Genomic DNA, 20207 nt, shown 5'->3' with positions numbered 1-20207 from the left:
CAAGATTATCACTTCTGAAAATTCATATCTTTCATTTTAAAGCTATGGAAAGATTTTGTACAGTATAGCACAGTTCAGAGAAGGAAAAGTGAAAGGATTTTTCACCTCACCTTATAAATTGTTAATTGAATTTTTAACCTAGAAATTAAATTATTAAAAACTACTGAAACTACTTAACTGTCATGCTCATTCACACAGCAATATCGAACAATTTTCAGTAAAAAAACGTAATATGTTTTTTATTCAACAACAGGTTTTCTTTTTACTTGGCACTTAACCAATTATCCCATTAAGAAAAAAATGTTTAAGAAGATTTCAGTGAATCCTAATGTAAAATTGCTTTATAAATGCTTTTTTGTTTCTTGTTTTTTTGTTTTTTGTTTGAGACAGAGTTTCACTCTTGTTGCCCAGGCTGGAGTGCAGTGGCGCAATCTCGGTTCACCGCAACCTCCGCCTCCTGGGTTCAAGCGATTCTCCTGCCTCAGCCTCCCAAGTAGCTGGGATTATGGGCATGCGCCACCACGCCCGGGTAATTTTGTATTTTTAGTAGAGGTGGGGTTTCTCCATGTTGGTCAGGCTGGTCTCGAACTCCTGACCTCAGGTGATCCACCCACCTCGGCTGGGTGCTGAGATTACAGGTATGAGCCACTGCACCCAGCTATAGATGCTTTTTTAACATTTAAGAATTTATACATGGTAATGAAGCTTTTAGTGATCTTATGTTTTCTGGGAGTGAAAAGGAACACAATAAGGTGTAATTATCGGATTCATCAGTAGATCTGGTAAGTGAAAATGTGAAAAACTTCCAAAACAATGACTTTACCCCTATGTAAATTAAAAGCAGTTGTTTACTATGATACCCATTGTGCCTCTATAACTTGCCATTTAAAAACTTTGTATGCATGAAAAATTATTTGGCTACCATTTAATGAAAAACAATTTTATAATGTTTGTAAATTTATTTTCTTAATGTATTATTTTAAAAGTCCTAGAAATAAAAACTTAATATCTTCATAATCAACCTGATGGCATGGGAATTCCTTCTTTCACACATAGCTAATTTGAATATTAACCTAATTGCAAAACTACAACCTTATGTTGAGTTTGGCTGTTTAACTTGGAAACCATTTTGAAGTCTACTTTAAGGTATTAATAAATACATGTTAAGGTAATCTGTAAAAACATAAATAGAGAAGAAATATGGGATCAAACAACATAAAGTGTTTTATAAGTGAAAAAACATGTTTTTATTTTGTGCATTTCAGGTGTGAGTATACAGTTTCTTTGTTCCCCTAGACCTGAGGAGCCCATTGAACATGTTACAGCATGCCTGCAGGCCTTACATACCTTGCTAGACTCCCCTTATGCTCGAGTCCATATTGCAGAAGATCAGGTACAGTGTATTGCTATGATAGATACTTGTGTGGTTTTTTTTTGAGTATTGCTTTACAATGGAAAAAAGGATGGATTTTTTTTCTGTATTGGATCCTATTTTAACATGATATGAATACACTGACTCCCTGTATTTATTCACCCAGTTACTTTTACTCTGTGCCTGGTCTGCCTCAAACGTGGTTTGAGGTTATAGATAGTGAAAGCAGTTTCACTGTGCCTGAATTAGGAGATAGGTACAGTGTGGTAAGTGCTATTTTAGTGCATGTAAAGCTGCAATTAGAATAGAGAGGAGGAGCCCGATGTTGTGATAGGAAAGCAAAGGATGGTTTCTCAGAGTGGGCAATGGTTGAATCAAATCTTCAAGAGGAATTAGTGAGGCAACACATGCGGGACGGGTTTTCCTCTCAGAAAGAATAGCAAATACGAACACTAGGAGGCATGAGAGAACACGGCAAGTTCAAGGGCATAGCCATTTACTATGGCCGATATGAATGGAACATGAGGTTGTTAGATGAGGCTGGACAACAAGGTGAAGACCAAATCATGAAGGTTTCTTGATGACATGTAAAAGAGTTTGAACCCTATCCTGAAAGTGATAGGGAATCATTAAAAATGTTTAAGTAGAGGAATGATGTAACTAACTTTATATTTCAGAAGGATCATTCTGTCAGCCCGTAGAGGTAGGTTGGTTTGTAAGAGATGGGAAGGGAGACAGGGAGGCCAGTTCTGAGGCTTTTTTCATAATTCCAGAGAAATGATAACACTAGCCTAGGAAGGCTGAATAAAGGAAGAAGAAAGAGGACCAAGATTGGAAGCTTGAGGATAAATAGCATTTAAAAATTGAGAAGAAGGAAATAAATCAACAGTGGAAACTGCTAGAGAAGTTTCAGGAGAACCAAAAGAGAACAGAGTTATCAAAGACAAGGGAGGAGTTTCAAGAAGGGTAGACAGAGTCTCAAAAGAAAGAATCGAGTAAATAAGCACAGAAATGAGTCTAGAGGAGGCTATTGGTGACCTCCCGCAGAGGATTGTTTGAGGTGACCAGTAGCCAGATAGTAGAAGATTGAGGAGTGAATAAGAGAGTAAAGGAAGTGGAAGCATCTAGGCTGGGAAAGGAAGGAGCCAGATACATAGAGGAGGACATAGGGTAGATAAAAGGATCTGGAGGCTTTGGGAATAGTGCAGGGGGGACATGTGATAAGAAAGACTTGAGCATTGTCATTATACTGACAAGAGTAGCCTAACTAGAGAGAGAAGTTGAAAACATACGAGATATGATCAGAGTCCTTGAAGAATCCCTAGGAAGTCAAATAGGTTAGGATAGGAGCACATAAGGAAAGATTAACCTCAGATTAAGCCTCACATAAGAGGCTGAACACATGATCTTAAGGAAAGAGGTAAAGGTGGCTTTGGTTGCAGTTAAGTCTTTTCCCCCTCTTTGAAATTTCATTTAGGTTCATTGGATGGATTTGGTATGGAAGATTGTGAGTAAGAAGCTTAAAGTGGGTGGCAAAAGTTTGTAGTAGTTGCTGAAGTGAATAGAAGAGGAACTCACCAGAGATTTCTACAATCTGTGGTAGGCAGAGGTTGTAGAAATTCTTGGATATTCAGCTCAGGTTAGAAATTATAAATTTTAGCAGCACTGGACTCTACAATACTATTTAGCTCAATTATTTCCTTCCAATAGGAGAATGATCATCTCTGAATATAAAGCACATTTAAATATGTAAATAATAAATCATTTGTTGCTTGAAAATACATAGGAGTAAAATGTGACCATTTCTCAAGATTTTTACAATGTTCTTATTTGTTACGTAGTCCTATATTTTAATTTTAGCTACCTGATTTCTTTTTTTACATAGGTATTTTCTCAGATTTTAACAATATAAAGTTATTCTTTGAGATTGAAATTACTTAACTGTATTTGTATTTATTTGTATTAGCTGATAGGTGTTGAGTTGCTGAGTGTTTTGCACCGCCTTCTATTGACCTGGAATCCATCATCTGTCCAGCTGTTGGTTACTGGAGTTGTACAACAGATAGTAAGAGCTGCTCAGGATTATTTGCAAGAGAAAAGAAACACTCTAAGTAAGCACTAGAAATTACACTAACTTGAAGTAAATCTTATTTTATACTCTAATTTTTAAAATATTAACGCCAGGACATATTTCTATAGTTCTTATTTTATTTTTTAGAGGCAGGGTCTCATTCGGTCACCCAAGCTGGAGCGCAATGATGTGATTATAGTTCAGTGTAGTCTGTAACTCCTGGGCTTAGGATCCTCCTGCCTTAGCCTTCTGAGTAGCTGAGACTATAGGCACACTCCACCAAGCCCAGCTAATTTTTTTTTTTTTTTTTTTTTTTTTTTTGCGGGCGGGACAGTCTTACTCTCAAGAGCCCAGGCTGGAGTGCAGTGGTGCAATCTCGGCTTACTGCAGCCTCAAACTCCCAGGATCAGGTGATCTTCCCACCTCAGCCTCCAGAGTACCTGGGTTTACAGACACACTCCACAATGCCCAGCTAATTTTTGTATTTTTAGTGGAGACAGGGTTTTGCCATGTTAGGCTGGTCTCGAACTCCTGAGCCCAAGTGATCCGTCCATCTCAGCATCCCAAAGTGCTGAGATTACACGTTTGAGCCACGGCACCTGGCCAGAAGTTATTAATTAAAAAAAGAATTAATCATACATTTAGAAGATTTGAAATTGATTTTATTTTCATTAGAAAGGACCAAATGAAATTGCTGAGAGTCGACTATTTTTCACCTTTTGTCAATTTCATCTGGTTCAACCTAACATGTGTTATTCCTATTACAAAATATATACCCAATAAAAATACCTGATAAAGATTTTCCAAGTGAAAAATGAACTGTCTGTTACCTTTAAGGACAGATCAATGCACAGAATTCTAGGGAGGCAGAGAATTATACAGAGAAGGACGTGTGACATTATTTGACATTTGCTTATAAATTCTTTTGAAGGAATTTCCTAAATATACTTGTGTTGTTTTACATACTTTTTTTTGGCTGGAAATTTCACCAAATTATCTTTTACCTCAGATGAAGATGATATGGAAAAAGAGGCCTGTACCGTATTGGGAGAAGGAGGTGACAGCGGTGGTCTCATTCCTGGAAAATCTCTTGTGTTTGCAACTATGGAGCTGCTGATGTTCATTTTAGTACGGCATATGCCACATCTCAGTACCAAGGTGTCAGACTCTCCAAGTCACATAGCCACTAAAACTCGACTATCAGAAGAAAGTGCTCGTTTGGTGGCAGCCACAGTTACCATACTCTCTGATTTACCATCCCTTTGTTCACCCGCTGGTACGGTATTGATCAGTATTTGGAAATGCATTATATTACAGTAGACAAAGATGAGCTTGCCTTTGATTTTAAGCACTGTTATAACCCAGTTTCCTCTTAAATCTCAAGTGAAAAATAAGAAGCTGGTCTTTTTTTAAGGTTTTGTCTACCTTTAGGAGCCTATGAAGATTAAAGATTCAAAAAGTCACAAACCTAAGGTGCTCTTTTCAGATGTGTTTCAAATAAGACATGGAACTACAGGTTGAGGAAAGACAGTGTCAGCAGATAGACATAAAGTGGAATAACTAAACTCTGTTTTCCAGTCTGGTTGCCACTCTTGAGTGACACTGAAAAACTCAAGGCCAGGTGCGGTGGCTCATGCCTATAATCCCAGCACTTTGGGAGGCTGAGGCAGGTGGATCACCTGAGCTCAGGAGTTCCTGACCAGCCTGACCAACATGGTGAAATGCCATCTCTACTAAAAATGCAAAAATATTAGCTGGGCCTGGTGGCGTATGCCCTGTAATCCCAGCTACTCAGGAAGCTGAGGCAGGAGAATCACTTGAACCCGGGAGGCAGAGGCTGCAGTGAGCCGAGATCACGCCATTGCACTGCAGCCTCAGCGACAGAGCAAGACTCTCAAAAAAAAAAAAGAAAGAAAAAGAAAAACTCTGAAGAATGTCAGAGGAGACTTTTTTTTTTTAAGCTCATCAGCTGTTGTTAATGTTAGTGTATTTTATGTGTGGCTCAAGACAATTCCTCTTCCAGTGAGGCTCAGGGAAGCCAAAAGATTAGACATTCCTGATCTGGAAGGTAAAAATGGTATCAGATAAAGAGATAAATTTCAGCTCAACTCACGGAAGACCTTTCTACCTCTTAGAGTTACCCTACATATGTGAAAATAATGAATTCTCCATATTTGGAGTTTTGCAAGCAGAGGCTACAATGGCTGCAGGTCAGAGTGGTGAAGGTATTTTTTCCTTTTGTGGGAGGTTGAATTTTCATGACCTAGAATTTTCAGTTACAAATTCTAGGATTATTTCATTTCTTCTTTCCTTGCCCCAGTAGTCCTTTTACTTTCCTGGTCTGATTAGGTTGACTTTAGTAGACTGAGGATTGATTACATGTTTTACAAGTGCTATAAAACTCATGAAGTTACTCAGATGCTTCCCACAGTATCTGGTGTGGTTTTTTCCTGTTTTTCTGTCTTCCTTTTTCGTTTTCATTACACAGGGCATGAAATATTAAATAGGTGAAGTATTAGAAGTAATAAAAATAAGGCTAGCTGGAAAAAGAAAGAAAATACCAATTCTGTCTTTGAAATAATATGACACTTTCTTATTTTCTTTTTCAAACATTGAATTATAGTAGTAGTAATACAGTAAATTTTGTATAAAGACAAGGAAAAAAACAATATTAAACCACAATCAAATGCAAAAAATACAAGCAATGAAAACAACTATAATATGGGAACTGAATAGTTATGAGGTGATCTGATTTGTTTTTCTTTCAGGATGTATGACAATCCTGCCCACAATTCTGTTCTTAATTGCAAGAATATTGAAAGACACAGCAATAAAGTCTGCAGATAATCAGGTTCCTCCACCAGTCAGTGCAGCTCTTCAAGGGATTAAAAGTATTGTGACACTTTCAATGGCCAAAACTGAGGCTGGCGTTCAAAAACAGTGGACAGCTCTGATTCGTAGCACGCTTGCTTGCATCCTGGAATATTCTCAACCAGGTAACCTATCAGTTTTAAACGTTTTAGTTAGTTAGGATATGTGTTCCCTAAGTAATGAATTAGTTGAATAAGCTTATCAGAAAACTGCTGTATAACAATGAATCATCTCAGAGAGGTATGTTAGTCATATCTTTCAGATGTGAACTTTAATACTCTTTTCTGGATTGTTGACTCTAAATGCCCTTGTGTTAATAGTTATAAACATGTTGGGGCCAGGCGTGGTGGCCCACGTCTGTAATCCCAGCATTTTGGGAGGCCAAGGTGGGCAGATACCTGAGGTCAGGAGTTTGAGACCAGCCTGATTAACACGGTGAAACCCCATCTCTACTAAAAATACAGAATTAGCCGGGTATGGTGGCACGTGCCTGTAATCCCAGCTACTTGGGAGGCTGAGGCAGGAGAATTGCTTGAACCCGGGAGGTGGAGGTTGCGGTGAGCCAAGATCACACCACTGCACTCCAGGCTCGGCAAAAAACAGAGTTTTTTGAAACTCTGTCTCAAAAAAAATATATATATAAATATACTGGGAGGTTTTTTGTTTTTTGGGGTTTTTGTTTGTTTGTTTTGTTTTTTTGAGACAAAGTCTCGCTCCGTCACCCAGACTGTAGTGCAGTGGCGTGATCTCAGCCCACTGCAACCTCCGCCTCCCGGGTTCAAGTGATTCTTCTGCCTCAGCCTCCTGAGTAGCTGGGATTACAGATGCCTGCCAACACACCCGGTTAATTTTTGCGTTTTTAATAAAGACGTGGTTTCACCGTGTTGGTCAGGCTGGTCTCAAACTCCTGATCTCATGATCTGCCTGCCTTGGCCTCCCAAAGTTGCTAGCATTACAGACGTGAGCTACCGCACCCGGCCGGGAGGTTTTAAATATATACATGTATATCTCTCTCCAGAATTTTTTTTTTTTGAGACAGGGTCTCACTGTGTTGCCCAGTCTGGAGTTCACTGGCACGATCTCAGCTCACTGCAACCTTTGCCTCCCAGATTCAAGTGATTCTCATGCCTCAGCCTCCCAAGTAGCTGGGACTACAGGTGTGCGCAACCGTGCCTGGCTAACGTGTGTATTTTTTGGTAGAGACGGGGTTTCACCATGTTGGCCAGGCTGATCTCAAACTCCTGACCTCAAGTGATCTGCCTGCCTCAGCCTCACAGGTTGCTGAGATTACAGGCATGAGCCACTGTGCCCGGCCTCTCTCCAGAATTTACATGTGTTAATATATTTATGTTTTCTTCAAGTTGTTGTTTTACAATAAAAATAATAAAACAGGAGAGAAAATTGAAGTACCTGTCACTACTCCATTGTACCCCCACATGGAACTACATGTTGATATTATGTTTTTTCGGGTGTTTTTGTTTTTTTGTTTTTTGAGATGGCGTCTCGCTCTGTTGCCAAGGCTGGAGTGCAGTGGCGCAATCTTGGCTCACCACAGCCTCCGCCTCCCAGGTCCCAGTTCAAGCAATTCTCCTGCCTCAGCCTCCTGAGTAGCTGGGATTACAGGCACGCACCACCACGCCCAGCTAATTTTTGTATTTTTAGTAGAGACGGGGTTTCACCATGTTGGCCAGCCTGGTCTTGAACTCCTGACCTCGTGATCCTCCTGCCTCGGCCTCCCAAAGTGCTGGGATTACGGGTGTGAGCCACCACACTCGGCCTGATATTATGTTTTTTCTTAGAAATATCTATCTATATAAATAAGTATGTTTTCTATATGAGTATGTGTCAGTTATATTAAATATATATTTATATATGTGTTATATAGAGAGTAAGATAACTATGAGCAATATATATTTCTGTTTTAAAATTTACATAAATAATGTCATCTCATTCTGTGACTCAACAATAACTTTTTTTACATCTGTTAATGTGAATATATAAAACTCTCATTTAACTCCCATATAGTTTCTGTCATATGTTTTTATCAATTATTATTCATTTCCCTGTCAATGATATTTTTGTTGTTTCTAATTTATCCCAGTTAAAAAGATTGCTGCAATTAACATCCTTACAAATTTCTCATGCACGTGTGCTGTGAGAGATTTTCTAGGATGTACACCTAGAAGTAGAATCGATGGTACATTTCAATGTCATCAGACATTGCCAGATTGACCTCCAACATAGCTACATGAATTTACGCTCTCACCAGCAGAGCATGATAATCTGTATTTTCCCACATTCTCACCAGTATTTGATATTGTTAGACTTTTTAATTTTGCTGTGTTTGGTAAAATATACTGTCTTACGGTTTTAATTTGCATTACTCATTTTCTTAGTAAGCATTAACATTTTTCATGTCTATGTTTAATTTTTGGTGAAATGCTTACATTTTTGTGTTTTTCTTCTGATTGACTTTTTATTTCAAGGTTTATTTCTTTTGTAAAGAAAATATAAAATAACTGAAAACAAAGAATAGTAAAGAAGGATTTGTCATCTCACCTATTAAAACATTTCCACGTTATCTAAAACTGTGGAGTAGGCCCAAGAATCAGTGGAACAGAACAGATTGCTTTGAAACAGACATTCATCCATGTGAGAATGTAATATATGATAAAATATAATATATGATAAAAGCACATTGGTTAGCTGTTTGAGAAATAAATTTCATTTAGGCTCTTATATCATGAATCAAAACAAGTACCAGATAAAATAATAACATAAAATGTTTTAAACAGGAAAACAAAGAAAATATAGGTGAATGTTTTACGTTAGAATGGCAGAGGACTGGTCGGCGTGGTGGCTCACGCCTGTAATCCCAGGACTTTGGGAGGCCAAGGCGGGTGGATCATGAGGTCAGGAGATCGACACCATCCTAGCTAACACAGGGAAACCCCGTCTCTACTAAAGATACAAAAAATTAGCTGGGCGTGGTGGCGGGCGCCTGTAGTCCCAGCTGCTTGGGAGGCTGAGGCAGGAGAACGGCATGAACCTGGGTGGCAGAGGTTGCAGTGAGCCGAGATCGCGCCACTGCACTCCAGCCTGGGCTACAGAGCGAGACTCCGTCTCAAAAAAAAAAAAAAAAAGAATGGCAGAGGACTAACTGTAAGTCAAGGAAAGATGTCACAGAGGACAATTTTACTGTTTTGGTCTATATAGAAATTAGATGGGGTGTGGTGGCTCATGCCTATAATCCCAGCCCTTTGGGAGGCTGAGACAGGTAGATCGCTTGAGCAGAGGAGTTTGTGACCATTCTGGGCAATATAGTGAGACCCTGTCTCTACAAAATAAAAAATAAATAATTAGCTGGGCATGGTGGCACACACATGTGGTCCCAGCTATTTGGGAGGCTGAGGCAGAAGGATCACTTGAGTTCGAGAAATCAAGCCTGCAGTGAGCCATGATGGTGCCACTGAACTCTGGTCTGGGTGAGAGAGTGAGACCCTATCTCAAAACAAACAAACAAACAAAAAAATTAACTTCTACCCATCAAAACACCTTACATTAAATGGTAGATGAAAAAAAGACAGCTGAAAAACTGACAATAATATTTATGTCTGTGTTGATATCATTAATATACAAAGAGTTCTTAGAAAAAATTCACTTACTCACCAATAGGTGAAAGAAGAAAGAGGCCAAACGCAGTGGCTTACACCTGAATCCCAGCACTTAGGAGGTCAAGGTGGGTTGATCACTTGAGGTCAGGAGTTCGAGACCAGCCTCAGTGGTGAAACCCCGTTTCTACTAAAAATACAAAAATTAGGCCAAGCACAGTGGCTCACTCCTGTAATCCCAGCACTTTGGGAGGCTGAGGCGGGTGGATCACCTGAGGTCAGGAGTTCAAGACCAGCCTGACCAACATGGAGAAACCCTGTCTCTACTAAAAATACAAAATTAGCTGGGCGTGGTGGCACATGCCTGTAATCCCAGCTACTCAGGAGGCTGAGGCAGGAGAATCTCTTGAATCCAGGGATGCAGAGGCTGCGGTGAGCCGAAATCACGCCATTGCACTCCATCCTGGGCAACAAGAGCAAAACTCTGTCTCAAAAAAATATATATATATACAAAAATTAGCCGGGCATGGTGGCAGGTGCCTGTAATTCCATCTACTTGGGAGGCCAAGGTGGAAGGATTGCTTGAACTCAGGAGGCAGAGGTTGCAGTGAGCTGAGATCGCACCATTGCCCTCAAGCTTGGGCGAGATTCCATTTCAAAAAAAAAAAAAAGAAAGAAAAGAACACACATCTGTATCAAAGAAAATAGAAATGGCCACCAAGCATATAAAAGAAAAATCAGGGCCGAGCACATTGGCTCACGCCTGTAATCCCAACACTTTGAGAGGCCAAGGCAGGCAAATCACAAGGGCAGGAGTTCAAGACCAGCCTGGCCAACATGGTGAAATCCCTCTCTACTAAAAACAGAAAAAATTAGCTGGGCGTGGTGGCAGGCGCCTATAATCCCAGCTACTCAGGAGGCTGAGGCAGAAGAATCGCTTGAACCTGGGAGGTGGAGGTTGTAATGAGCTGAGATCGCGCCACTGCACTCCAGCCTGGTGACAGAGCGAGACTCCCTCTCAAAAAAAAAAAAAAAGAATTGCATTATTTAGTTGAGCGCAGTGACGTGTGCCTGTGGTCCCAGCTACTCAGAAGGCTGAGGTGGGAGGATCACTTGAGCCCAGGAGGCAGAGGCTGCAGTGAGCCCAGATCGCACCACTGCACTCCAGCCTGGGCAAAAAAGCAAGACCCTGTCTCCAAAAAATAGAAGCATACTCTTTAGCCTTACTGATCAAAAAATTATGTTCAAGGTTATTTATCACCTATTATATCTATCTTACAACAATGAAAATGTGTGATAACTATATCTGGCAATGGGAAGAATTATAAAGTACATGATAGTATATTCATTTGGATAATATATCCAATATATCTATTAAGTACCATGTTTATAACCAACTATATAAATTAACCCAGACCCGAAGAAATTAAACCAAAACATAGTAATTTAATTTTTAAACTATTACTGGGTGGTAGAGTTACAAGTTTTACTTTCTCTCCTATACTCTTTTTCTATTTTAAACAATGAATACATTTAAGTGAATATGTGACTTCTAAAAAATTACCAGGGATAACTTTAGTTTTATTAATGTGATTAAAATTATTTTAGCTTTATCAAGAGCTGGTATTTTGTTTCTTAAGGTAGATTTTAACAAACTGAAGAAACATTAAAAGCCATATTTATATATGTATATGTGTGTATAGATAGGAATAACAAGGGCTGGCCATGGTAGCTCACACCTGTAATCCCAAAGGAGGCCAAAGTGGGCAGATCACGAGGTCAGGAGTTCGAGACCAGGCTGGCCAATATGGTGAAAACCCGTCTCTACTAAAAATAACAAAATTTAGCGGGGTGTGGTGGCATGTGCCTGTAATCCCAGCTACTCAGGAGGCTAAAGCAGGAGAATTGCTTGAACCCAGGAGGCAGAGGTTGCAGTGAGCTGAGATCAAGCCACTGCATCCCAGCCTGGGTGACAGAGCAAGACTCCATCTCAGGAAAAAAAAAAAAAAAAACAAGGAATAACAAGACGAAGAAATCGTTGAGAATTTGTGGCTGGGCGCAGTGGCCCACACCTGTAATCCCAGCACTTTGGGAGGCCGAGGTGGACAGATCATGAAGTCAGGAGATCGAGACCATCCTAGCTAACATGGTGAAACCCCGTCTCTACTAAAAATACAAAAAATTAGCCAGGCGTGGTGGCAGGCACCTGTAATCCCAGCTACTCAGGAGGCTGAGGCAGGAGCATGGCGTGAACCCGGGGGCGGAGCTTGCAGTGAGCTGAGATCGCGCCACTGCACTCCAGCCTGGACGACAGAGCGACACTCTGTCTCAAAAAATAAATAAATAAGAATTTGTTTTAAAATAATTAATTTAATTTTTGTTGAGGGGGTCTAGAGTCAATATTTTTGAAATTGTTCATTAAGGGAAAGTTTTGATATGTTATCAAGCTAGTTCATTCATATGAGGTGAATTTAAAGGTCTGATAATAGAATTAACTTGCCTGAGGTATTCTGTCTGGAACTGAGTTCATAGGAGACACAGCCAGTTATGAAGTAGGGATCAAAGCCACAGGCATATTTGTATATTTGTATATCGAGGCAAGCAGATCCCTTGCTTAACAAGCAAAGTTTTATAATAGAGTATTTCCATTATGGAAATCCTATTTCCTGTTACAAAATCTGGCATCTTTCACTTTAAAAAGGATATGTATGCATGTGAACATGTACAAACGTACAAAAATCTTCTTGGATCTAATGAATCACTCTTAATTGCTTCAACATTGTTTTTCGTTTTTAGATCCTTTGACTTTGAAATAAATTTCAAACTTTAAAAAACGTTGCAAGAATAACATAAGGAACTCCAGCATACCCTTCTCCTAGATTCACCAGTTGTCAACATTTTGCCACACCTGGTTTATTACTTTCTCTATAATCCACATATCATTATTGTTAATATTATTATTAATTTTGCTGAACCATCTGAGGATATGAAGTCATCATGACTCTATTCCTACGTACTTCATGGATATCCTAAGAACAAGGACATTCCCTTCCATAACCACAGAAGAATTACCAAATTTGGCACTACTTGTCCTAATAATAACCGTCATAGAGCCCTTTTCTTTTTTTTTAGTCATTATATTGCCTTAGTCTCCTTTAATCTGGGGCAGTTCCTCAGCCTTTGTCTTTCATAACATTAATGTTGTTGAAGAATACCAGCCATCTATTATGTAGAATGTTTCTCAGTTTAGAATTGTCTAATTTTTTTTTTTCCTCTCAGGTTAGATTCAATGTATGCATCTTGGCAGGAATACTGCATAAGTAATGTTATATCTTAGCACATCATATAACTAAGACATATTGCTTTGTAATGTTGCTTTGTCCCATTATTGGGAATCTTAACTTTAATAACTTTGTTAAGAAGTTGTCTGCCGTGTTTCCCCACTATGAAGTTGCCATTTTTCCATTTTATAATTAATAGGTAACCTGTGGGGAAATACTTTGAGACTTTCTCGCTTGTCTGTTCCCATCAAACTTTCTTTCTTTTTTTTTTTTTTTTAAACAGAGTCTCACTCTGTTGCCCAGGCTGGAGTGCAATGGCGCGATTTTGGCTCACCGCAACCTCCACGTCCACCTCCTATGTTCAAGCAATTCTCCCGCCTCAGCCTCCCAAGTAGCTGGGACTACAGGTGTCCGCCACCGTTCCTGGCTAGTTTTTGTATTTTTAGTAGAGATGGGGTTTTGCCACGTTGGCCAGGCTGGCTTCGAAATCCTGACCTGAGGTGATCCCCCAACCTCGGCCTCCCAAAGTGTTGGGATTGATTTACAGGCATGAGCCACTGCACCCGGCCCATAATTTTTTTTTTAATTCAGTGGGTCCCTTACTGTTACTTCAATGTGGCCCCATTATTTCTTGAGCACTTCCATACTTTCTAGCCCCAAGATGTAGCAGACTGAGTATTTCCCCCTCACTGTTCTAGAATCAGCCCCTTCTCCAAAAGCCTTGATTCCTTTCAGTAGAAAAATCATATTTAGATGCCCCATCTTCTTAAAATCACAATTTAAAAATAAAATGGGGCCGGACACCTTGGTTTAAACCTATAATCCCAGCACTTTGGGAGGCCAAGGTGGGAGGGTTGCTTTAGGCCAGAAGTTCGGACTTTCCTGGGCAATATGGTAAGACGCTGTCTCTATAAAAAATTTTTAAATTCAGCTGTACATGGTGGTGCATGCCTGTAGTCCCACCTCCTCGGGCGGCTGAGGTGGGAGGGTTGCTTGAGCCCAGGAGTTCAAGGCTGCAGTGAGTTATGATCATGGCACTGCACTCCAGCTCTTCCTTGGGGGGAAAAAAGAAAAAAAAATAATTTTTAAAAAATGAATATAAAATAATTTTTGATAAAAAATTGCTTGCAGCATTGCCAACTCTGAGTAAGAGATTATATTCTATGTAGAATAAATTTCCTATGATGGGGTTTTCAGGGTTTTTTTGTTTTAGGTTTTTTGTTTGTTTGTTTGTTTTTGAGACAGGGTCTCACTCTGTCACCCAGGCTGGAGTGTGGTGGCATGAACGCAGCTCACTGCCACCTTAACCTCTAGGGCTAAAGTGATCCTCCTGCCTCAGCCTCCCAGGTAGCTGGGACTGCAGGCATGCACCACCAAGCCTGGCTAATTTTTTTGTTTTTTGTAGAGACAGGGTCTCAGCATATTGCCCAGGCTAGTCTTGAATTCCTGAGCTCAAGCAGTCCTCCCAATTCAGTTTCCCAAAGTGCTGGGATTACAGGAGTGAGCTGCCTAGTCTGGGTGGGTTCTCAGGTTTTTAACATTCGTGACTCAGGTTATTATAAATTGATTAAATCCTTCAAATTTTACATCTCTTTTGTTTGTTTTTTTGTTTGTTTGTTTTGAGACTGAGTCTCACTCTGTCACCCAGGCTGGAGTGCAGTGGCGCAATCTTGGCTCACTGCAACCTCTGCTTCCCGGATCCAAGCAATTCTGTAGCCTCAGCCTCCCAAATAGCTGGGATTACAGGCGTGTGCCACCATGCCCAGCTAATTTTTGTATTTTTAGTAGAAATGATGTTTCACCATGTTGTCCAGTCTGTTCTAGAAATCCCAAAGTGCTGGAATTACAGGCATGAGCCACCACACCCAGCCGACATCTCTTTTTTTAAACTTTATTTCTTTACATTAAGTTAATGGACTTTTTCTAGACTATTGTTCTTAACCCTTTATTCCATATTACAAAAAGCTGGTACCCTTATTATGAGATAATGTTAGCATGTCACATATATATGTTTGTAATCCTTCTAAAGTACTGATTATCACTGGGTATTTACAGTTGCCAAAATAGGTCAAATTTACACAAAAGATAGGGATCAGTTTTATTGAAGAAATGATAATCACAAAATGTTTGGAACTCGTATTTTATATGTTCAGAAATATTGTTCTTTAGAATAAATGTTCATATTTCTAGTTATTTCTAATTACGTACTATATTTCTGTTCAAGTTGTATCTATTCCTGAATAAATGTAATGGCAAGAAATTCCTTAAAATTCTTAGAACACTGTCTTCAGGAAATTGTCCAAGTTTTTTTTTTTTTTTTTTTGAGACAGAGTTTCGCTTTTGTTGCCCAGGCTGGAGTGCAATGACACAATCTTGGCTCACTGCAACCTCCACCTCCCCGGTACAAGCGATTCTCCTGCCTCAGCCTCCCAAGTAGCTGGGATTACAAGCATGCACCACCATGCCCAGCTAATTTTGTGGTCAGGCTGGTCTCGAACTCCCAACCTCAGGTGGTCCGCCTGCCTCGGCCTCCCAAAGTGCTGGGATTACAGGCGTGAGCCACTGCACCCAACCGATTTTTTTAATGGTTATATGGAATTTACAGGTTTTCATATTTACTAAATTGAAAGGAGATATCACTTAAAAATGTACTCTGGATTTTAAAATTAGTTAGAATATTTTATAATAATTTAGCATTAAATATAACTGCATACATTTAACTTTATACATTGAACTTCTTACAGTTGTCTGTGGACTGTATTAGATTAAGGCAAGTACTACTATAAATGTTGTGGGGAGAGAGAGATGATTGTTCAAGATTAAAATTCTGGCCAGGCACAGTGGCTGACACCTGTAATCCCAGCACTTTGGGAGGCCAAGGCAGGAGGATCACTTGAGCTCAGGAGTTCAAGACCAGCCTGGACAACATGGCAAGACAACGTCTCTCTCTACAAAAATAAAAAAATAAAATGCCAAAATGTTTTAGAAACAGCACACTTCTTTCATTTTTCATTTTCAGAAGACTCTGTACCTACACCTGATGAAGTAAGCATGCTAACAGCAATTGCACTCTTCCTGTGGTCTGCTAGTAATGAAATAATAGGAGTCCAGTCATTACAGAATGGCTGCATGAACAGATTTAAAAATGCATTAAATTCATGCGACCCATGGGTAAGTTACACGTTACACAGACATAGATAAAAACATTTCCCTTTATCAGGAAAATGTCAGATTGATTCATTAAAATATGTGATACATAATGAAAAGCTAAGTATTTGCACTATGGCTTTTAAATGGAAAAACTGAAACAAATCACTGGGTTTAAGCACTAGAACACATGTGTATGTTTATTCACATATGTAGAAATTCTTCAATATCTGAAATATTTGATTAACCCCAGGGCATACTGGTAGAGACAAGAGTCTATGATTATGTTTTCCAGTGTTTATTTAAATGACGCTAAGGACATTAAAGGAGAAGCTTATATTATTGACGTTTTAATGAACCTGCTAGAAACTAGTTTGTCTAGAAAGTAAGATTTTTTATTTTACAATGTCAGAGTCTAAACTTGATTCTCAAGCCTGCTACACGTCAGAAATTTTAAAAAGCAGAAACATTCTTGAAGACCAGGTGCGGTGGCTCACGCCTGTAATCCCAGCACTTAGGGAGGCCAAGGCAGGCAGATCAGGAGGTCAGGAGTTCGAGACCAGCCTGTAGTGAAACCCCATCTCTACTAAAAATACAAAAAAAATAGCCAGGTGTGGTGGCATGCGCCTGTAATCCCAGCTACTTGGGAGGCTGAGGCAGGAGAATCACTTGAACCCAGGAGGTGGAGTGAGTTGAGATTGTGCCATTGCACCACTCCAGCCTGGGCAACAGTGTGAGACTCCGTCTCAAAAAAAAAAAAAAAAAAAAAAAAGGAAACATTCTTGGATTCCAGTACTGTCTTCCTGAATCTGAGTCTCCAGATAGGTGGCTCCAAGATCTGTATATTTAAAATGTTCTTCAGGTTTTTCTTGTGTCTAGCCATATTTAGCCACTTGTGTTCTACCAAAGCACTGAAATGGTTTTCTTCCACTGTGTCCCATATATTGGTGGGACTTCCCTCCCTCTCTTCCTTCTTTCCTTCCTTCATTTTTTTAAAAAAGTGTTAATCTGAAGCCTTTCTAATACAAAGTGGAGCCAGTAAGACTTTATTTTCTAGGTCTGGAAACCTTACATTGTTAACAGTCATTTCCAGGGAATCAAGTGGTTTTGAGATATCTAAGCAATGTATTTTTATAGCTTTGTTTCAGATCATTCAAATATTTAACCTTCCTTAGTAAATATATTTGGTTAAAATGGGAGGGACAATTGTACATTAAAGGAAGAATTAAAAACAGAAGTGGGAATAACTGATTTCTAACTTATTTCACAGTATTAAAATATGGGAATTGGCCGGGCATGGTGGCTCACACCTGTAATCCCAGCACTTTGGGAGGCCAAAGCGGGCAGATCACAAGGTCAGGAGATTGAGAGCGTCCTGACCAACATGGTGAAACCCCGTCTCTACTAAAAATACAAAAATTAGCTGGGTGTGGTGGTGCGCACCTGTAATCCCAGCTACTTGGGAGGCTGAGGCAGGAGAATCGCTTGAACCCGGGAGGCAGAGATTGCAGTGAGCCAAAATGGTGCCACTGCACTCTAGCCTGGCGACAGAGCGAGACTCCATCTCAAAAAAAGAAAAAAGAAATACAGGAATTGTATAAGCATGGTGATTTGGTCATTAAAATATATGAACATTTTTGACTAATTTTTGTCACAAAATTCTATTCTACTCCATTTCTCTAAGTAGAAAATGTAATTTCCATTTTTGTCCTGCAGTATCACTTATTTTCAGTACATAGTAAGATGCAATGTGATTGTAGAGCAAATAAGAACTATACACATGTTAATTGATAATATGTTCTTCTTATATAGGTTCAAGCCAAATGTTACCAGCTTCTCCTCTCAGTCTTCCAGCATTCCAATCGTGCCCTTTCAACTCCTTATATTCATTCATTAGCTCCAATAGTGGTTGAAAAGCTAAAAGCTGTTGAAAGAAACAGACCAGCCAGTAACATAGAGCTTTTAGCGGTTCAAGAAGGAATAAAAGTTCTTGAAACACTGGTTGCTCTTGGTGAAGAACAAAACAGTAAGTATATTCTTATAAAAAGCTACTAGTTCAGAATGAAGATCTGTATTGTATATAAATCTTATTTGATATTAGAAACAGGCCTGCTGGGCGCAGTGGCTTACACTTTGGGAGTCCCAGCACTCTGGGAGGCCAAGGTGGGTGGATCACGAGGTCAGGAGATCGAGACCATCCTGGCCAACATAGTGAAACCTGATCTCTACTAATAATACAAAAATTAGCTGGGTGTGTGGCGCACACCTGCTGTCCCAGCTACTTGGGAGGCTGAAGCAGGAGAATCACTTGGACCCGGGAGTTGGAGGTTGCAGTGAGCCGAGATCATGCCAGCGCACTCCAGCCTGGCAACAGAGCGAGACTCCATCTCAAAAAAAAAAGAAAAGAAAAAAAACCAGGCCTTTGCTTCTGTTACATAATGTAGTGAGTTGATTTTTTTCTTTGTTTGTTTTTGAGCAGGAAGTTCAAATGAATTGCCAATGGCATTTCAACACAGCGATTTTTTTTTTTCTAGGAATGTATGCATCCCTTAAGATCTAGGAAAAATATAGATGTTTAATAGGGTTTTTTTTTCTTTTTTTTTAGACAGTCTCGCTCTGTCACCCAGGCTGGCATGCAATGGCACCATCTTGGCTCACTGCAACCTCTGCCTCCTGCACTGAAACAATCCTCCCACCTCAGCCTCCGGAGTAGCTGGGACTACAGGCATGTGCCACCATGCCTGGCTAATTTTTGTATTTTTTGTAGAGACAGGTTTTTGCCATGTTGCCCAGGTTGGTCTCTGACTCCTCCTGGACTCAAGCGATCCACCTGCCTTGGCCTTTCAAAGTGCTAGAATTACAGGTGTGAGCTACCATGCCCATTTCATAGGGTTTTAAAATAATATATTCTAATCTTCATAATAGAGGTATAAAAGCTTTATAACAAATATAACCAGTTAAGTATTAATACCAAACATAATTATTAAAATATCTCAAAACTTGTTATTTAGAATTTTTTTTAATTTAATGAAAAACTACTGCATACATCCATTTAACCAGAAACTTATGCAGTTTAATATATTTTCTTTATTCCCTTAATACTTAAGCTTTGATTTTATCACAATATTTGTCCTTCAAAATATGATTTTTAATTGTAGACAGACTGTACTTTTTAAACTAGTATCTTATGATTGAACATTAAGCTGTTTTTAATTTTTCAAGATCACAAATGAAGCTTTTTTTTTTTTTTTGAAACAAAGTCTTGCCCAGGCTGGAGTGCGGTGGCACGATCTTGGCTCACCGCAACCTCCGCCTCTGAAGTTCAAGTGATTCTCCTGCCTCAGCCTCCTGAGTAGCTGGGATTACAGGCATGTGCCATAACGCCTGGCTTAGTTTTGTATTTTGAGTAGAGATGGGGTTTCACCACCTTGGCCAAGTTGGTCTTGAACTCCTCACCTCAAGTAATCCACCTGCCTCAGCCTCCCAAAGTGCTCGGATTACAAGCGTGAGCCGCTGCACCTGGCCGAGATGAGCATCTTTATTCTTAAATTATTTCTGTCAGATTCCTAAGAGTGAAATGACTGGAGAGAAGGGAATGCACATTTTAAGACTTTTAATTGGCCAGGCGCAGTGGCTCATGCCTGTAATCCCAACACTTTGGGAGGCCAAGGTGAGCAGATCACTTGAGATCAGGAGTTTAAGACTAGCCTGGCAAACGTGGTGGAACCCCATCTCTACTAAAAATACAAAAAATTAGCTGCACGCGGTGGCTCATGCCTGTAATCCCAGCACTTTGGGAGGCCAAGGCAGGCAGATCATCTGAGATCAGGAGTTCGAGACCAACCTGACCGATA

The 20207-nt window shown here is 39.8% G+C and overlaps 1 protein-coding gene across 10 annotated transcripts in view, besides 1 other annotated feature; it reads left to right on the top strand.

The window, feature by feature from the left end:
* HEATR5B (HEAT repeat containing 5B) overlaps positions 1–20207 on the top strand; it is a 103478-nt gene that overhangs the window by 77348 nt on the left and 5923 nt on the right. For 4 of the 10 annotated variants that reach the window (XM_006712035.5, NM_019024.3, XM_047444814.1 and 1 more), the window contains 6 exons: positions 1266–1393; positions 3339–3483; positions 4453–4719; positions 6212–6439; positions 16226–16377; positions 18166–18379. In XM_006712035.5, the coding sequence (XP_006712098.1) occupies positions 1266–1393; positions 3339–3483; positions 4453–4719; positions 6212–6439; positions 16226–16377; positions 18166–18379 (1134 nt within the window). Of the gene's footprint in view, positions 1–1265; positions 1394–3338; positions 3484–4452; positions 4720–6211; positions 6440–16225; positions 16378–18165; positions 18380–20207 lie in introns of those variants that run through there. The other 6 variants (XM_047444810.1, XM_006712034.3, XM_047444812.1 and 3 more) reach the window with 4 other exon arrangements.
* Positions 3935–4101: a silencer, noted in NCBI's record as "fragment chr2:37230067-37230233 (GRCh37/hg19 assembly coordinates)". NCBI's record gives its function as "represses an EF-1alpha promoter that drives an FKBP-Casp9 reporter gene in an ReSE screen in phorbol 12-myristate 13-acetate-treated (for megakaryocytic differentiation) K562 erythroleukemia cells {active_cell/tissue: K562(+PMA)}" and the evidence as "EXISTENCE:reporter gene assay evidence [ECO:0000049][PMID:32094911]".

This window comes from Homo sapiens, chromosome 2 (genome assembly GCF_000001405.40).
Source record: "Homo sapiens chromosome 2, GRCh38.p14 Primary Assembly".
Lineage (NCBI taxonomy): Eukaryota > Metazoa > Chordata > Mammalia > Primates > Hominidae > Homo > Homo sapiens.
This window is presented reverse-complemented; position numbering and strand designations above follow the sequence as displayed.